The following is a 14,438-nucleotide window of genomic DNA, read 5'->3' as shown; positions in this document are numbered from 1 at the left end:
AGAAAGTAATACCTTTAAGAAGGGAGAGCACTAGACGGCATTTCAGGTACAGCATCAGCCAAAGCGCATGGGCACCATGGATCAGGGCAGTGTCATTTGTAGACCCAGCACCCTATGATGAATGGATGCTTTCCATGGGTCTCTGACTTCTAACCTTCCCCGGCCTGCCCACCATGCTGAATCACCCCCTGCTGGTGCAGCAAAGACCTGACCCCACCATATACATTTTATGTGAGATTTGGGGCAAATTTCTTTTATTTATTTTATTTTTTTATTTTTTGAGATGGAGTTTCGCTCTTGTCACCCAGGTTGGAGTGCAATGGCGTGATCTCGGCTCACCACAGCCTCTGACTCCTGGGTTCAAGTGATTCTCCTGCCTCAGCTTCCCGAGTAGCTGGGATTACAGGGGCCTGCCACCACGCCTGGCTAATTTTTATATTTTTAGTAGAGACAGGGTTTCACCATGTTGGCAAGGCTGGTCTTGAACTCCTGATCTCAGGTGATCCAGCCACCTTGGCCTCCCAAAGTGCTAGAATTATAGGCATGAGCCACCGCTCCCGGCCTTGGGAAACATTTCTTAATTTATCTGAGACTCAACGTCCTCACCTGTAAAATGGGGGGAAAAATAGTGCCTTCCTCATTTGGTTAAGGATTGAGGGAAGTAATAGAGTTTGCTTAATATGGAGCCACAAATATTGGGAGAGCTCAAGAAATGGCTGTGGAAGTCTGATATCACATTTTTGGTAAATATAGTGACACTTACAGGATAGACACTGTGCCCTTGTCCTGCTCTGCCTGGGTCCCAGAGGCCTGACTTCTGCAAACTACATTTCCCAAGCTCCTTGCCAATGGCTTGTGGCTGGGTTCAACCAATAGGAGACACTGAGAGAAGAGATGAGGGCAGGAGGAAGGAAGGAGTTTGGGCATTTTCCCCTCTTGCTGGTCTTCAGGCAGCATCTCTGCAGTGGCTGCACCTCCTCCCTGGTCCCAGCCTCTGCCAGGCAGCCCCTCCTGGGGTTCTAGCTCTATTAACCCTGGGATGCTAACACCGCATCCTCCAGCCCCAGCAAAGGAAGCTTCCTGCTGTTCTAACCTCTCAGTTGTCTCAATGTCCTCCTTGTGAGTAGGGTTACCAAAATTAGCAAATAGAAACACAGGAAGCCCAGTTAAATTTGCATTTCAGATAAACAACAAACCTATTTCCAAATATTACACGGGACATACAGTTTCATGTAAAAAAAATCATTGTTTATCCGAAATGCAAATTTAACTGGCAATTCTGTATTTTATCTGGCAACCCTACATAAAAGGCTTCTCAGTTCTTCCAATACCATTGAACCTAATTCTCTGGATTAAATTTCCTCTATTAAACTTTCAGTAGAAGCTCTTTGATTGCTGGATCCTACTTGCTACAGATGCTGAGTTCAATGTGAGCCAATGCATATTTCTGGAATCCTCAGATTATTCCCTATTCCAGCCTTCTACTCACCTTCCCACTCCCCATGAGTTCAAAGAAGAATACGGAATTTAAAACCAACATTCATTAAGCGTCTTATGTGCAAAGTACTAAAAAACTTGGCAGAGATAAAACACTTTGTTATCTTAATTGCTGGCATCAGAGCACCTCCAAGCTTTGTTTAAGAAAATACCTTCACAAGCCACTTGGGGTAGAATGTGAGACCCTGAGGGCAGGGACTGAGACAACGAAAGAACCGACTGCACAGCTCTGCTGAGGAAAATGAAGGGAATTTTTTCTTTGCCTCTGAGAGAGCAGGGAAGAGATGTTCCTGTTGATATATTGCTGTGGAGCAAAGATCCTAAAACTTAGTGACATAAAACAACTATTTTATTGTGCTCACGAATTCTGTGGGTCAGGAACTGGGACAGTGCATGGCAGGGGTGGCTCGCCTCTGCTCCAGGGTGTCTGGGACCTCAACTGGGAAGACTCAACCAATTGGGGTGACTCAATAGCAGGCACCTCGGGCCTGCTATTTTCGGTTTTTACAGATGGCACTTTTGGTTTTTACAGATGGGGCTTCATTCAGGGCTGGTGACCAGAGCATCTGTCACAACCTCTCCAGGTGATCAAGACTTCCTCACAGTACTGTGGCTCAGGGGAGTCGAACCTCTCACCTGTCAGCTCAGGTTTCCAAAAGCAGCGTCCAGTGGAGGAGGTGGAAGCTGCTTTGCAGGGAACATAATTACTCTCTCCATGCCCTGCTGGGGTGGAGCCGTCGCAGGCTGAGTAGTCCAGGGGCGAGGCAGAAACTGCCACTCTGGTTGGGAGCATGGCAGAGTTACATGGTAGAAGAGCATGTGAGATGGGATATATGGTTGCAACTTTTGTTGAGTCAAAAAGCATAATATGGAATAGAGGAGAGGCAGAAGAAGAAGAGGAAACCCAGAAAACTAGCATGCCATTAGAACAAAATGTGGAGGGAATGGCAGTGAAAACAGCCTGGGCGAGATAAGAGGTGGCCCTAGACATTTAAAAATGGGTCATTGCTGAGCATTGTTGTTCATGCCTGGGATCCCAGTACTTTGGGAGAGTAAGACAGGAGGACTGCTTGGGCCCAGGAGTTTGAGACCAGCCTGGGCAACGTCGTGAGACTCTATCTCCAAAAAGAAAAAAAAATAGCCAGGTGTGGTGGTCTGCACCTGAGGTCCCAGATGCTCAGGAGGCTGAGATGGAAGAATGGCTGAGACCAGGAGATCAAGCCCACAGTGAGTGGTAATGGTGTCACTACACTCCAGCTTGGGTAATAGAGGGAGACCCTGTCTTAGGAAATAAATACATAAACAAAGTAAAAAAAAAAAATAGGTTGTTGCATGTGTAGACATAGCTATGGAGTGAAGGCTCTCCTCTGCCTTCCACCTTTAGCCAAGGATCCTGCACACACACAAAGGCCTTGGGATGCTGTGTGTGTGTGTGTGTGTGTGTGTGTGTGTGTGTGTGTGTGTGTCAGTCACAGAAAGGGATGGAGTCTTATGCCTGACTTATCATAATGTAAATAAAGATGGAATGATGACACTGAAAATTAATGAATTCAACAGGAAGAAAAGCAAAGTGCCAGAACCCTGAGCCCTTGAACCCAAGTCCTCAGAAATGAGCAGACACTTGAGGTGGGCTTTGGATCTCCATAGAACATAGAACTCCATAGAACATTCATTTATTCATTCATTCAGCAAGCTTTGGTTGTGCACCAGAGACTGTGCTAGTTGCTGAGGCATCAATAGGGGCAAAAATAGCCAGGGACTGGCTTCATGGAGGTTCTACTTTAGTAGGAAAAGACTGGCAATACAACAGTAAGAAAATATAATACAAATAAAAATGTCAGGTTGGCTGACACCTGCAAAATCTCAGTGGCTTAACACAATGAAAATACATTTTTTTTCCTCAGACAGAAACTCAATATGGGGGTTTATTAGGAGGTCTTCCTTGATGTGGGGGTACAGGCTCCACTATCTCATGACTCCACAATTGGCTAAGAACATCTAGTCCTCACTGAATTCTCTGTGCCTGCCCTTACAGACAGGAGTAGAGAGAGCACAGAGGACAATGTGGAAGATTTTTTTCAAACCAGTACTCAAAACAGACCACACTACTCTCACCCACATACCATTGACTGGGGCATCGTCATAAAGCCACCCACACCTCACTGCAAACAAGGCTTGAAATGTGGTCCAGCAGGGTGCCCAGGAGGATGAGGAGGAGGAGAAGGAATGAGACAAATGCTATGAAGGAAATCAAGGAGGTATCAAGACTGGGAATACTAATTCATATTGGGATAACTAATTCATATTGAATGGCCAGGTCAAGACTGTTTGAGGACGTGGGATTTGGGCTGAGATCTGGAGAGGAATTAGACAGCTATTCAAATTTTTGGGGGAAGAGTGTTCTAGAATCAAAGGAAAACAAGGACAAATCTCAGAATTGGGACTTTGCTATGGTTTAAATGTGTCCCTCAGAAGCCCCTATGTTGGGAACTTGGTGCTACTGTGATAGTGGTAGCCCTCATGAATAGATTAATGTTGCTATCATGGGAGTGAGTGAGTTGCTGTAAAAGTTTGGCCCCTGTTTTTCTCCGTCTTGCCTCCTCTCTCCCTTCTGCCTTCTGTCTTCTGCCTTCTGCCTTGGAATAACCCTCACCAGATCCTAGCTCAATGCCCTTGGACTTCCCAGCCTCCAGAACTGTAAGAAATAAACTTCTTTTCTTTGTAAATTACCAGTCTGTGGTATTCTTTTATAGCAACAGAAACTTGAAGAAGACAATCATAGTTCGGTGTGTTCAGGGAACAAGAAATAGCTCAGTGTGACTGGTGCCTGGTAAGCCAAAGAGAGGATGATTTTGGGTGAGATTACAGAGGTAGGCAGTGGTCAGATCATGCAGTTCCCACAGGCTACAGGAGGGGCATTTAGGTCTTAATTTTAAGTGCTATGGGAAGCCACTGCAGGATTTAAAGCAGGGGAGTACTGGTATCTGAGCTGTGTTTTTCAAATATCCTGATTCCAAGGGCCAAGGAAACCTTCACAGGTATCTGAGTTATATGGCCATCATTTCAGTCCATCCTCACAACAGCTTAGGAAAGAGATGATACTGGGCTTTTTCATGCCTATGAAGAAATGGAGGGTTAGAAGGAGTCTATAATCACACATGACCTTGGCACAGTCAAGTCTGATTTCAGACCCAAGCCCAGGAGGGGAAATGTGGTTGAGAACAGAAACCAAAGCTCCATCAGGATCTAAGGGTGGAGAAGTGGCCACAGGGTTATTGCTGAAGGCCCAAAGCCTGGCAGCATGAGAACCTCCGCACCTGGAGGCTAAAAGGTGCACCCTGCCTTCCTGAGGGAGGGGTCTCCAGTGCCTACTCCCTGAGCCATGGGGAGAGAGCCCCAAAAAAGAAGTCTGGGATGCCTGTGCTTTTGGGTCATTGGGAAGCTTGGTGACCTTTGGGACAAAGGGTCTGTCTATGATCACTGCAGAAAGAGCTCCAGCCACTGTGGTTTGCTGAATAATGGCCCCCATGTCCTAAACTCCAGAATCTGGGAATAGGTTACCCTGCATTACAAAAGGGATTTTGCAGATGTGATTAAATTAAGTATCTCAAGGTGGAGATACTACCCTCGATTATCTGAGTGGGCCCAATGTCATCACAAGGGTCCTTATAAGAGGGAGGCAGATAAGGAGATGTAATGATGGAGTGGTGTGGGGCCCTGAGCCAAAGAATGATGGCAGCCCCCCAGAAGCTGGAAGGAGCAAGGAAATGGATTCTCCTCTGGAGCCTCCAGAACAAATGCAGTCCTGCCTCGATTTAAGCCCATGGAGATGCATTTTAGGCTTCTGACCTCTAGAACTTTACAATAACAAATTCATGTTGTTTTAAGCCACTGAGTTTGTGGTTATTTGCAACAATCCCCATAGCAAACTCATACACCCAGCAACCAAGACAGTGACAGGGGGAATATCCAGAACTTTTTTTAGTGGTTGTTTGTTTCCTCTGGCAGTCATTCTCCTTCCCCTCTCTCTGTTTCTCCACAAAAATTATTCATGAAAAATTTGAAGCCAAGAACAATAGTGGGCTTATCTTGGGGGCACCAAAGAATGTCACCAATGGCCCTGACTTCCATCCAGCCTGAGGACCAGAGCAGTGGTGGCAGCTGAGGCCCTGAGTCCAGTGGGAGAGAAGACAGTCAAGCCCCCCAGATGTCCCTGAGGAAGGCAGGAGGAAAGCGCGTTTCTCCATTTCCCCTCAGTGAGCCACATGGCGTCAGAGAAAGCAGGACTCAGAGACAACTTTCCTAAAGTCACCCAGCAATGGGGCCTTTAAGAGGCTCTGGGAGTTGGCACCAAAGTCAAGGGCTCCTTTCGGCTGCCAGGTTTTCAGATTCCTGATGAGCGACGCCTAGCAAACAAGCCCAGCCTTTGATGCTTGGCCACCTTGGCAGAGGCAGTAGTTTTGGCCCCTCCATGGCTGCTGGGCAGCTGGCAGGCCTGGAAGGCAGGGCCTTGGTTATCCAGCAAGGCTCTTGTTTGTCTGGCTTGGCCTTTTGGTGACTTACTACCCTTTGGCCTATTTATGAGAGTTTGCGATATCAGCATTTAGTACAATGTAATGAGTAACCAGGGTCCGGAGGCTTCTATACCTGCCTTTTATAAACACAGCTGATTAGCCTTAATCTCCCTGGGGACTTTGAGCTCAGGGTTTGGGGGTAGGGGTTCAGGGGTAAATTTGATGCGATTGAGGATGTGTGGCTCCCTCTGGGGACAGGGTCCTGAGCCCTGAGCCAGCTAGCCTTGGATTCAAGTCCCAGCTTTCCTTATCCACTGTGGGATGGGAATGTCAACCAGCCTCTTAGCGCCTCCACTTCCAACTCTGCAAGAGACGTGACTTTGTCCACTCAATAACAAGTATGGTTTACTTATTAACCATAAACTCTGCAACCTGTCTTAAGGGACATGTGATACAATGGAGCAAAGCAGATGTGAGATTTTTTTTTTTTTAGCACTTAGTAAGTATTCAATAATTGAAAATCTTCCTCTGAGTCCGTGGGTGTAGATAAAGGTGGTGAGAGTTTTCTCCCAAGGGCTCCCAGAGACCCAGGGTGTCTAAGAGAGAAGCATAGAGTGGCTGGGGGCATGCTTAAGGTGAGAGTGGTGCAGAAGTTGCCCTCCCAGTGAAATCAGGTTGGGCTTTGTGTCCCGACCAGCATGTGGCACAAGGCAAGGTGCTCAGGCTCAGGCATCCCTGATGTACATCCTCCAGCAAGTGACCCAGTGTCTCCGAGCCTCAATGTTCTCATCTCTAAAAGGAGGATGATTAGTCATGCCTCCCAATGTTACCAGAAAAGGGTCCAGATCCAGACCCCAAGGGAAGTTTCTTGGATCTCACACAAGAAAGAATTCAGGGCGAGTCCATCGAGTAAAGTTAAAGCGGTGGTTCATGCCTATAATCCCAGCACTTTGGGAGGCCAAGGTGGGCAGATCACCTGACATCAGGAGTTTGAGGCCAGCCTGGCCAACACGGTGAGATCCCATCTCTACTAAAAACACAAATATTGGTGGTGTGCGCCTGTAGTTCCAGCTACTCCAGAGGCTTGGACAGGAGAATCGCTTGAACCTGGGAGACAGAGGTTGCAGTGAGTGGAGATGGCACCTCTGCACTTTAGCCTGGGGGACAGAGTGAAATTCCATCTCAAAAAAAGAAAAAAGAAAAAGGAATAAGGAATGGCTGCTCCATAGTCAGAGCAGCCCTGAGGGCTGCTGTTGCCCATTTTTATGGTTGTTTTTGATGATATATATATAGGGTAACTTCCTGATGTTGCCATGGCATTTGTAAACTGTCATGGAACTGGTGGGAATGTAGCAGTGAGGATAAACAGAAGTCACTCTCATTGCCATCTTGGTTTTGTTGGGATTTAGCTGGCTACTTTACTGCAATTATCAGCAAGGTCTTTATGACCCGTATCTTGTGCCTACCTCCTATCTCACTCATGCTGTGACTAAGAATGCCTTAACTGTCTGGAAATGCAGCCCAGGAGGTCTCAGCCTCATTTTACCCAGCCCCTATTCAAGATGGAGTTGCTCTGGTTCAAATGCCTCTGACACCAAGATTGTTAGGAAGATTTGGTGAGATGACTTCCAGAGAGCTGTGTCCAGTGTGACTGGCACCTCCTAAGGGCTTAGTAAGAAGTTGGCCCCCTTTTCTCTCCAGCTTCATTGCCTTTGCCCATGCTCTCAGAGCCCCCCAACAATGGAAAACTTTATTCTGTATGGCAGGGAGCTCCCCATAAATAGAAGCATCTCAGCAGAAATTGGACTTCTGCATGTGGAGCATTAATGGTACCAGAAAAGGGGTCCCAATCTGGGTGCTAAGAGAGGGTTTTTGGATCTTGTGCAAGAAAGAATTCAGGGCAAGTCCATAGAGTAAAGTGAAAGCAAGTTTATTAAGAAAGTAAAGGAATAAAGAATGGCTACTCCATAGGCAGAGCAGCAGCTTGAGCTGCTGGCCTAAAGATACTTCTTGTTACTTCTTGATTATAAGCTAAACAAGGAGTGGGTTGTTCATGAGTTTTCTGGGAAAGGGGTGGGCAACTCCTGGAATTGAGGGCTCTTCCCCTTTGTAGACCATATATGGTAATTTCCTGATGTTGCCATGGCATTTGTAAACTGTCATGGCGCTGGTGGGAGTGTCTTTTAGCATGCTAATACATTATAATTAGTGTATAATGAGCATTGAGGATGACCAGAGGTCACTCTTTTTGCCATCCTGGTTTCGGCAGGTTTTGGCCAGCTCCTTTACTGCAACCTGTTTTATCAGCAAGGTCATTATGACCTGTTTCTTATGCTAACTTCCAATCTCATCCTGTGACTTAGAATGCCTAACTTACTGGGAATGCAGCCCAGTAGGTCTCAGCCTTATTTTACCCAGCCCCTATTCAAGATGGAGTCACTCTGTTCAAATGCCTCTGACATTAAGAAAAATTGACAAAGATGGCCACCTTCAGTGGCCTGAGATCCAACTGAGCCACAGGGAGCTACCAGGATACTCCAGGGCAGCTGACCACTGGGGAGCCAGGAGCCATGAGGGCAAGAGAGCAGTGGAGCTGATGGGTCACAAGGACTCACAGCTTATTCTCCAGGTCCAGAAGTTTGAAAACATCAAGGACATTTCGTAGAGTATCCACTCATGTAATTGGAACATGTTAAAGCTTGGAAGAAGGCTCAGACATGAATGAGTCTAAACCTTCATCCTACAGACTAAAAAACTGAGCTCTCAGGGAATGAGGACTTGCCCAAGGTATTAGCCAGGAATCTGAGCAGTTCTTCATAACCAGAGCCAACCTGCAACCTCAACCCCACCAGTTTTAACCTAACAGGCTTCTCTCCAGTGTCTTCAGGCTCCCCAACCACCCCTGATGGAAAGAAGGCCCCATAGTCCATGCTGGGCACTGGCAGCCAGAATTATTCCAGAGCTCATACGTGGGAATATGAAGATGCCTTGACTTAGCAACCAAGGCCAAGGGCAGGAAAAGACATCAACACCTCCAGGAAGCTATGGCAGAGCCACTGTGGGGGTCTCACAGGGGGTGATTGTGAGGATAGGAAGTAGGAGGGTACTGTGCCAGAAAGTGACAAATCATTTGAGCTGAGATAGTAGTAAGATTTGGTCCAAAGAACAAAGCAAGGGAAATATTAAGTACCATGTACTGAGTTATTAAGCACTTTCCATATAGTGGACATTGTGCTATGTCCATTGTGCTATATGGTGTCACTTCATTCTTAAATATCTCTTCTTTAAAGAGTCCACCTATTTCAAATAGTTATTCCTATTACTTTTTGTATTAGTTCATTTTCATACTGCTATGAGGACATACCTAAGACTGGGGAATTTATAAAGAAAAAGAGGTTTAATGAACTCACAGTTCCACATGGCTGGGGAGGCCTCACATTCATGGTGGAAGGCAAAGGAGGAGGAAAGGCATGTCTTACATGGCAGCAGGCAAGAGAGCATGTGCAGGGGAACTGCTATTTATTTATTTATTTATTTATTTATTTATTTATTCAGACAGGGTCTCACTCTGTTGCCCAGGCTGGAGTGCAGTGGCACGATCTTGGCTCACTGCAACCTCTGCCTCCTGGGTTCAAGTTATTCTCAGCCTCCCGAGTAGCTGGGAGTACAAGCATGAGCCACCATGCCTGGCTAATTTTTGTATTTTTAGTAGAGACCAGGTTTCGCCATATTGGCCAGGATGGTCTCAAACTCCTGACCTCAAGCAATCCACCTGCCTCAGCCTCCCAAAATGCTGGGATTACAGGCATGACCCACTGCGCCCAGCCAGAACTTCCCTTTATAAAACCATAAGATCTCCTGAGACATATTCACTATTACGAGAACAGCATGGGAAAAACCTGCCCCCATGATTCAATTACCTCCCACCAGGTCCCTCCCTCGATATGTGGGCTTATGGGAGTTACAGTTCAAGATGAGATTTGGGTGGCGGGGGGGACACAGCCAAACCATATCACTCTTGATCTCAGCTCTTAACTCAACTTCTGATTATTATGTTTGTTACTAAAGACATTCATTTATTCAACACATATTATAAGGTACATACAATCTGTTAGGGCTGAGGATGACATAGCAAGAATATGTTTTCTTAAAAAATAAATTGTCCCTGCCATCACAGAGCTTCCAGGCTAGAGGTAAGACAGGTATATATTAAGCAATTACACAAATGGCACAAACTGGTTTCCTCCTATTGAATCATGAACTCCATGAAGACCAGGACCAAGTTTGTCTTCTTGGGACAAATGGTGTGCTGATGTTTATAGAGATCCCAAAAGCTGATTGTCAAATACGCAGGACTCTTGCCAACCAGTTAAACTTTGGTAGCTTGAAATTGGCCTGAGTGGGAGTATTTACAGCATGAGAATTGGCAAAGGCTAAAAATCAGGGGTTTTTTCTTCTTTCGCAGAGTGTGGTTTCCCAGTACAGCCTCTTCCCCTCTGTACCAGGCCCACCCACATAAAGAACTTGGTAATACACATCTGATGAATGCTCTCACAATCCAGTCTTTGAGAGAGTCATTGCATTACCTCTATGTTTCAAATTAGGAAACTGAGCTTTAGGGAGTTTAGCAATCTGCATAGTTATTAAACCACGTAACTTGTGAGTGATGAAGCTGAAATTCGAACTCAGGTTTCCAGCTCCAAAACTGTGCTCTCAACTGTGCGAGACCCAACCTTTTAGAAAAGCACAGTCTCCATGGCTGGAAGGAAGAGGGAAGGAGTCTGGTGCCTTGGGAGAATAGGGGCTGCCCTGTGAGGCCAGGCCAGGCCAACCTGATGTGGAATGTAAGGGAGGGGTTTGTGAGGGTCCATTGTGGAGTGAGATCTGAATCTCCAGAGTTGGGACCAGGCTCCTGAAAAGCGGAGCCAGAAAATGCTTTTGTCTATTGTTGGTCAGCTTTGTTTTCAAAACTATGACCGACCTCCTGAGAGGCCTGGAGCCCTTTCCAGGAAGGCATGTTGGAAACCTGTGCGGAGGTGAGGTCAGTGCCACACTGGAGGCTGATTGCTGAAGATGCAGCTGTTGGTAGAGCTCTGCAGACAGACCTGTTTTCATCCTAAGACCTTTCCTTAAAAAGGTGGTTCACTAAAGGCTCTGTGTGACTGGGCCAGCCACGGCTTTCACCTCCTCCACAAATCTGACAGCTCCTGGAAGGAACTCACACCAGACCTTAATTGTCTCTGTAACTCCCGATTTTATGAGTGCTTACCACATAGTAGGCACTTGGTCAATGTAATGAATGAGTGAGACAATATAGCTCAGAGGCAGGTTAAAAAAAGAACACCTATATTTATTCTGATTTAAATGTAACATAAACTTAATGTAATGTTATTTTGGAAAACACAGATAATTATAAGGAGAAAATTAAAAATTACAACCCAGGCTGGGAGCGGTGGCTCACGCCTGTAATCCCAGCACTGTGGGAGGCCAAGGCAGGTGGATCACAAGGTCAGGAGTTCAAGACCAGCCTGGCCAAGTCTCTACTAAAAATACAAAAATTAGCTGGGTGTGGTGGCAGGCACCTGTAATCCCGGCTACTCGGGAGCCTGAGGCAGAGAATTGCTTGAACCCTGGAGGCAGAGGTTGCAGTGAGCCAAGAACACATCACTGCATTCCATCCTGGGCAACAGAGTGAGACTCCATCACAAAAAAAAAAAAAAATTACAACCCAGTTACAGGGATAACCATGCTTAACATTCTCATGTATTCTTTAAAAAACATGTGTGTGTGTACACCCATGTATATGTACATATGTGCATGTGTGTGTATTCTTATTGAATCATGTAGATTCATACATATTTGAATCTTCTTATTTTCACATAATCCTTCATCAGAAAAAAGGTGTCGTGTTAACAACATATTACAAAACTTTCATTTTCTAGTTAGTCTCTTTAACATAGCATCATATAGAATTATTTCACCCCCTGATGTTTGACATTTGTATTGCTGCTTATTTTCTATTCTTATAGATAACACAACAATGATGATTTTTCAACATTAATAATTGTCCAGATGTCTGTTTTTTTTTCTTTTTATTATGAGTCCCTAGAAGTAGAATTAGGGGCTCAGAGGATAAGAAGTTTATAAAGGAATACATAAGGCTAAGTTGAATTGTAAGAAACGTGTTCCAGGAACTTCAAGAGTGATGAGTACTAGCATTTTTTTTAACTTTGGGAATTTGCTAGGTAAGCAATATGTTTCTTTGACTGCTAGTGGGGGAAATCTTTTTCCATTAATTCCTGAACCATTCACATTTCCTCTTGCTGTCTTTTGTGCCCGTGGGAGCCAACGATGTAGACCTCAAGCACTGACTTTGGAGAGGGCCTTGGCCGCTGAGTCTGGACGGTCTGCCCCGAGCTGCTGGGTCTCAGCACCCTGCCTCATGCTGCCTGCTCCAGGGAGGCAGATCAGTGCAGCAGCATGGAACTTCACCTGGCAGAGTGGGCAGGCAGATTCCAGAAGAATCTGGCACAGCACAGAGGTTTCTGGGAAAAGCCACAGCCCACCTGGCTAGAACCTGAGGCTGACTTGGCACCCCACCACCTCCTTTCCTCTGTGGGAGGCTTGGATGGGGCAGGAGAGGGGGAGCCTTGAGGAAGAGGCAGCCATGCGGCCTGGCTGGCTCAGGGAGCTGCCTCCCAGCTCACTTGGCTCCCATGAAGCCTGTTTTCCTTAGTGCTGATGGCTTCCTTGTGAGGAAGGAAGGAGAAGAGAAGATGAAAAAATGTGGAAGAGGAGGAAGAGATTCTTGCTTCTGGGGCCTGGATTAAGGAAGGTCCTAGGAGCATTCTAGATTCTCCTTCAGAATTGATCCTAAATTAGCCAGCCGGTGAGTCTCTGGATCACAGAGATGCAGGTTTCTAGATTTCTTTTATTCAGGGGTGAGACTAAGAGCTGGGGCTCTGGAGCCAAACTGCCTGTGTTCCAATCCCCACCTGCCACTTACTATCCAGGTGACAGTGACATCACTTCCTTCAGCCTCCAGGAGCTGAACGCAATGTGCGGAACACAGTGGAGGCATGTAGGAAGGCTTCAATCACTGTTAGCTGTTCCAGAAGATTTAGTGAACATCTTCTCACTTGCAGCATTTAGCTGCCAGAAACTGTGGATGTGGTATAATAACAATTGTTCAGTTGGCAAGACGGCCTAGGACTGAGCAACTGAGTTTTGGTCATTTTAAACATCCAACATCGCATTGGCTCATACGGCACAGGGGATATTAACTGGTAAATGGAATGTCTTTTAAAAGTTCTTTAAAAATCCTTAGGAAAATTGATCCAATTTTCTAATATCTTATGTAAAAGCTGCACATATAATTGTTGAAGCATAAAGAAAGACAATATCTTAGCTCTGCCTCAGTCATCAACCCCTCCCCTCCAAAAATGTGAGCTGTTACCATTTGCGTTGGTTTCCAATTGCTGCTGCAACAACCACAAATTTAGTGCCTTAAAACAGCATGAACTTATTATCTTACAGTCCTGGGGGCCTTATTATCTTACAGACCTAGGGGTCAGGCACACTCAATGGAACTCAATGGGCAAACATCAAGGTGTCAACAGGGCTACACTCCTTCTGGAAGCCTTGGGGAAATTTCGATTCCTTGCCTTTTCCGGTTTCTAGAAGCTGCCTGCACTCCTTGGCTGGTGGCCCTTCCTCCATCCTCAAAGTCAACAATCACATCTTTCTGACATCTGCTTCCATCATCACATCTTTACTGGCTCTTCTGCCTCCTTCTTCTAACACTTTAGGACCCTTGTGATTACCCTTGTCCCACCTAGATACTTCAGGGCAATCTCCCTGTCTTAAAATCCTTAACCTGGCCGGGCGCAGTGGCTCATGCCTATAATCCCAGCACTTTGGGAGGCTGAGGCGAGCGGATCATGAGGTCAGGAAATTGAGACCATCCTGGATAACATGGTGAAACCCTGTCTCTACTAAAAACTACAAAAAATTAGTGGTGCATGGTGGCAGGCACCTGTAGTCCCAGCTACTTGGGAGGCTGAGGCAGAAGAATGGTGTGAACCTGGGAGGCAGAGCTTGCAGTGAGCCAAGATCACACCACTGCATTCCAGCCTGGGTGACAGAGTGAGACTCCATCTCAAAAAAAAAAAAAAAAAAAAAAAAATCCTTAACCTAATAACACCTGCAAAGTCCCTTTTCCATGTAAAGTAACATATTCACAGGTTCTGGGGATTAGGTCATGAACATCTTTAGGGGCCATTACTCTACCTTGTCATACTATTATGTTTTAACACATATTTATTGAGTGCCTACATTTTGCCAGGTGCAGTGTCTTACTCTGAGTTGAATAAAATCTAAGCCTGTTTTCTGAAGGAATTCACAGGGTAGCGCCAATGACAAACAGGT

The 14,438-nt window shown here is 45.9% G+C and overlaps 1 annotated feature.

The window, feature by feature from the left end:
• Positions 11,992-12,491: an enhancer, noted in NCBI's record as "H3K4me1 hESC enhancer chr8:134434961-134435460 (GRCh37/hg19 assembly coordinates)". NCBI's record gives its function as "activates a minimal SCP1, AML or CMV promoter by ChIP-STARR-seq in primed H9 embryonic stem cells {active_cell/tissue: H9 hESC(primed)}" and the evidence as "EXISTENCE:reporter gene assay evidence [ECO:0000049][PMID:30033119]".

Source organism: Homo sapiens, chromosome 8 (assembly GCF_000001405.40).
Source record: "Homo sapiens chromosome 8, GRCh38.p14 Primary Assembly".
NCBI classification, from domain to species: Eukaryota; Metazoa; Chordata; class Mammalia; order Primates; family Hominidae; genus Homo; species Homo sapiens.
The sequence above is the reverse complement of the archived record's forward strand: the minus strand, read 5'-3'. Positions and strand labels throughout refer to the sequence as shown.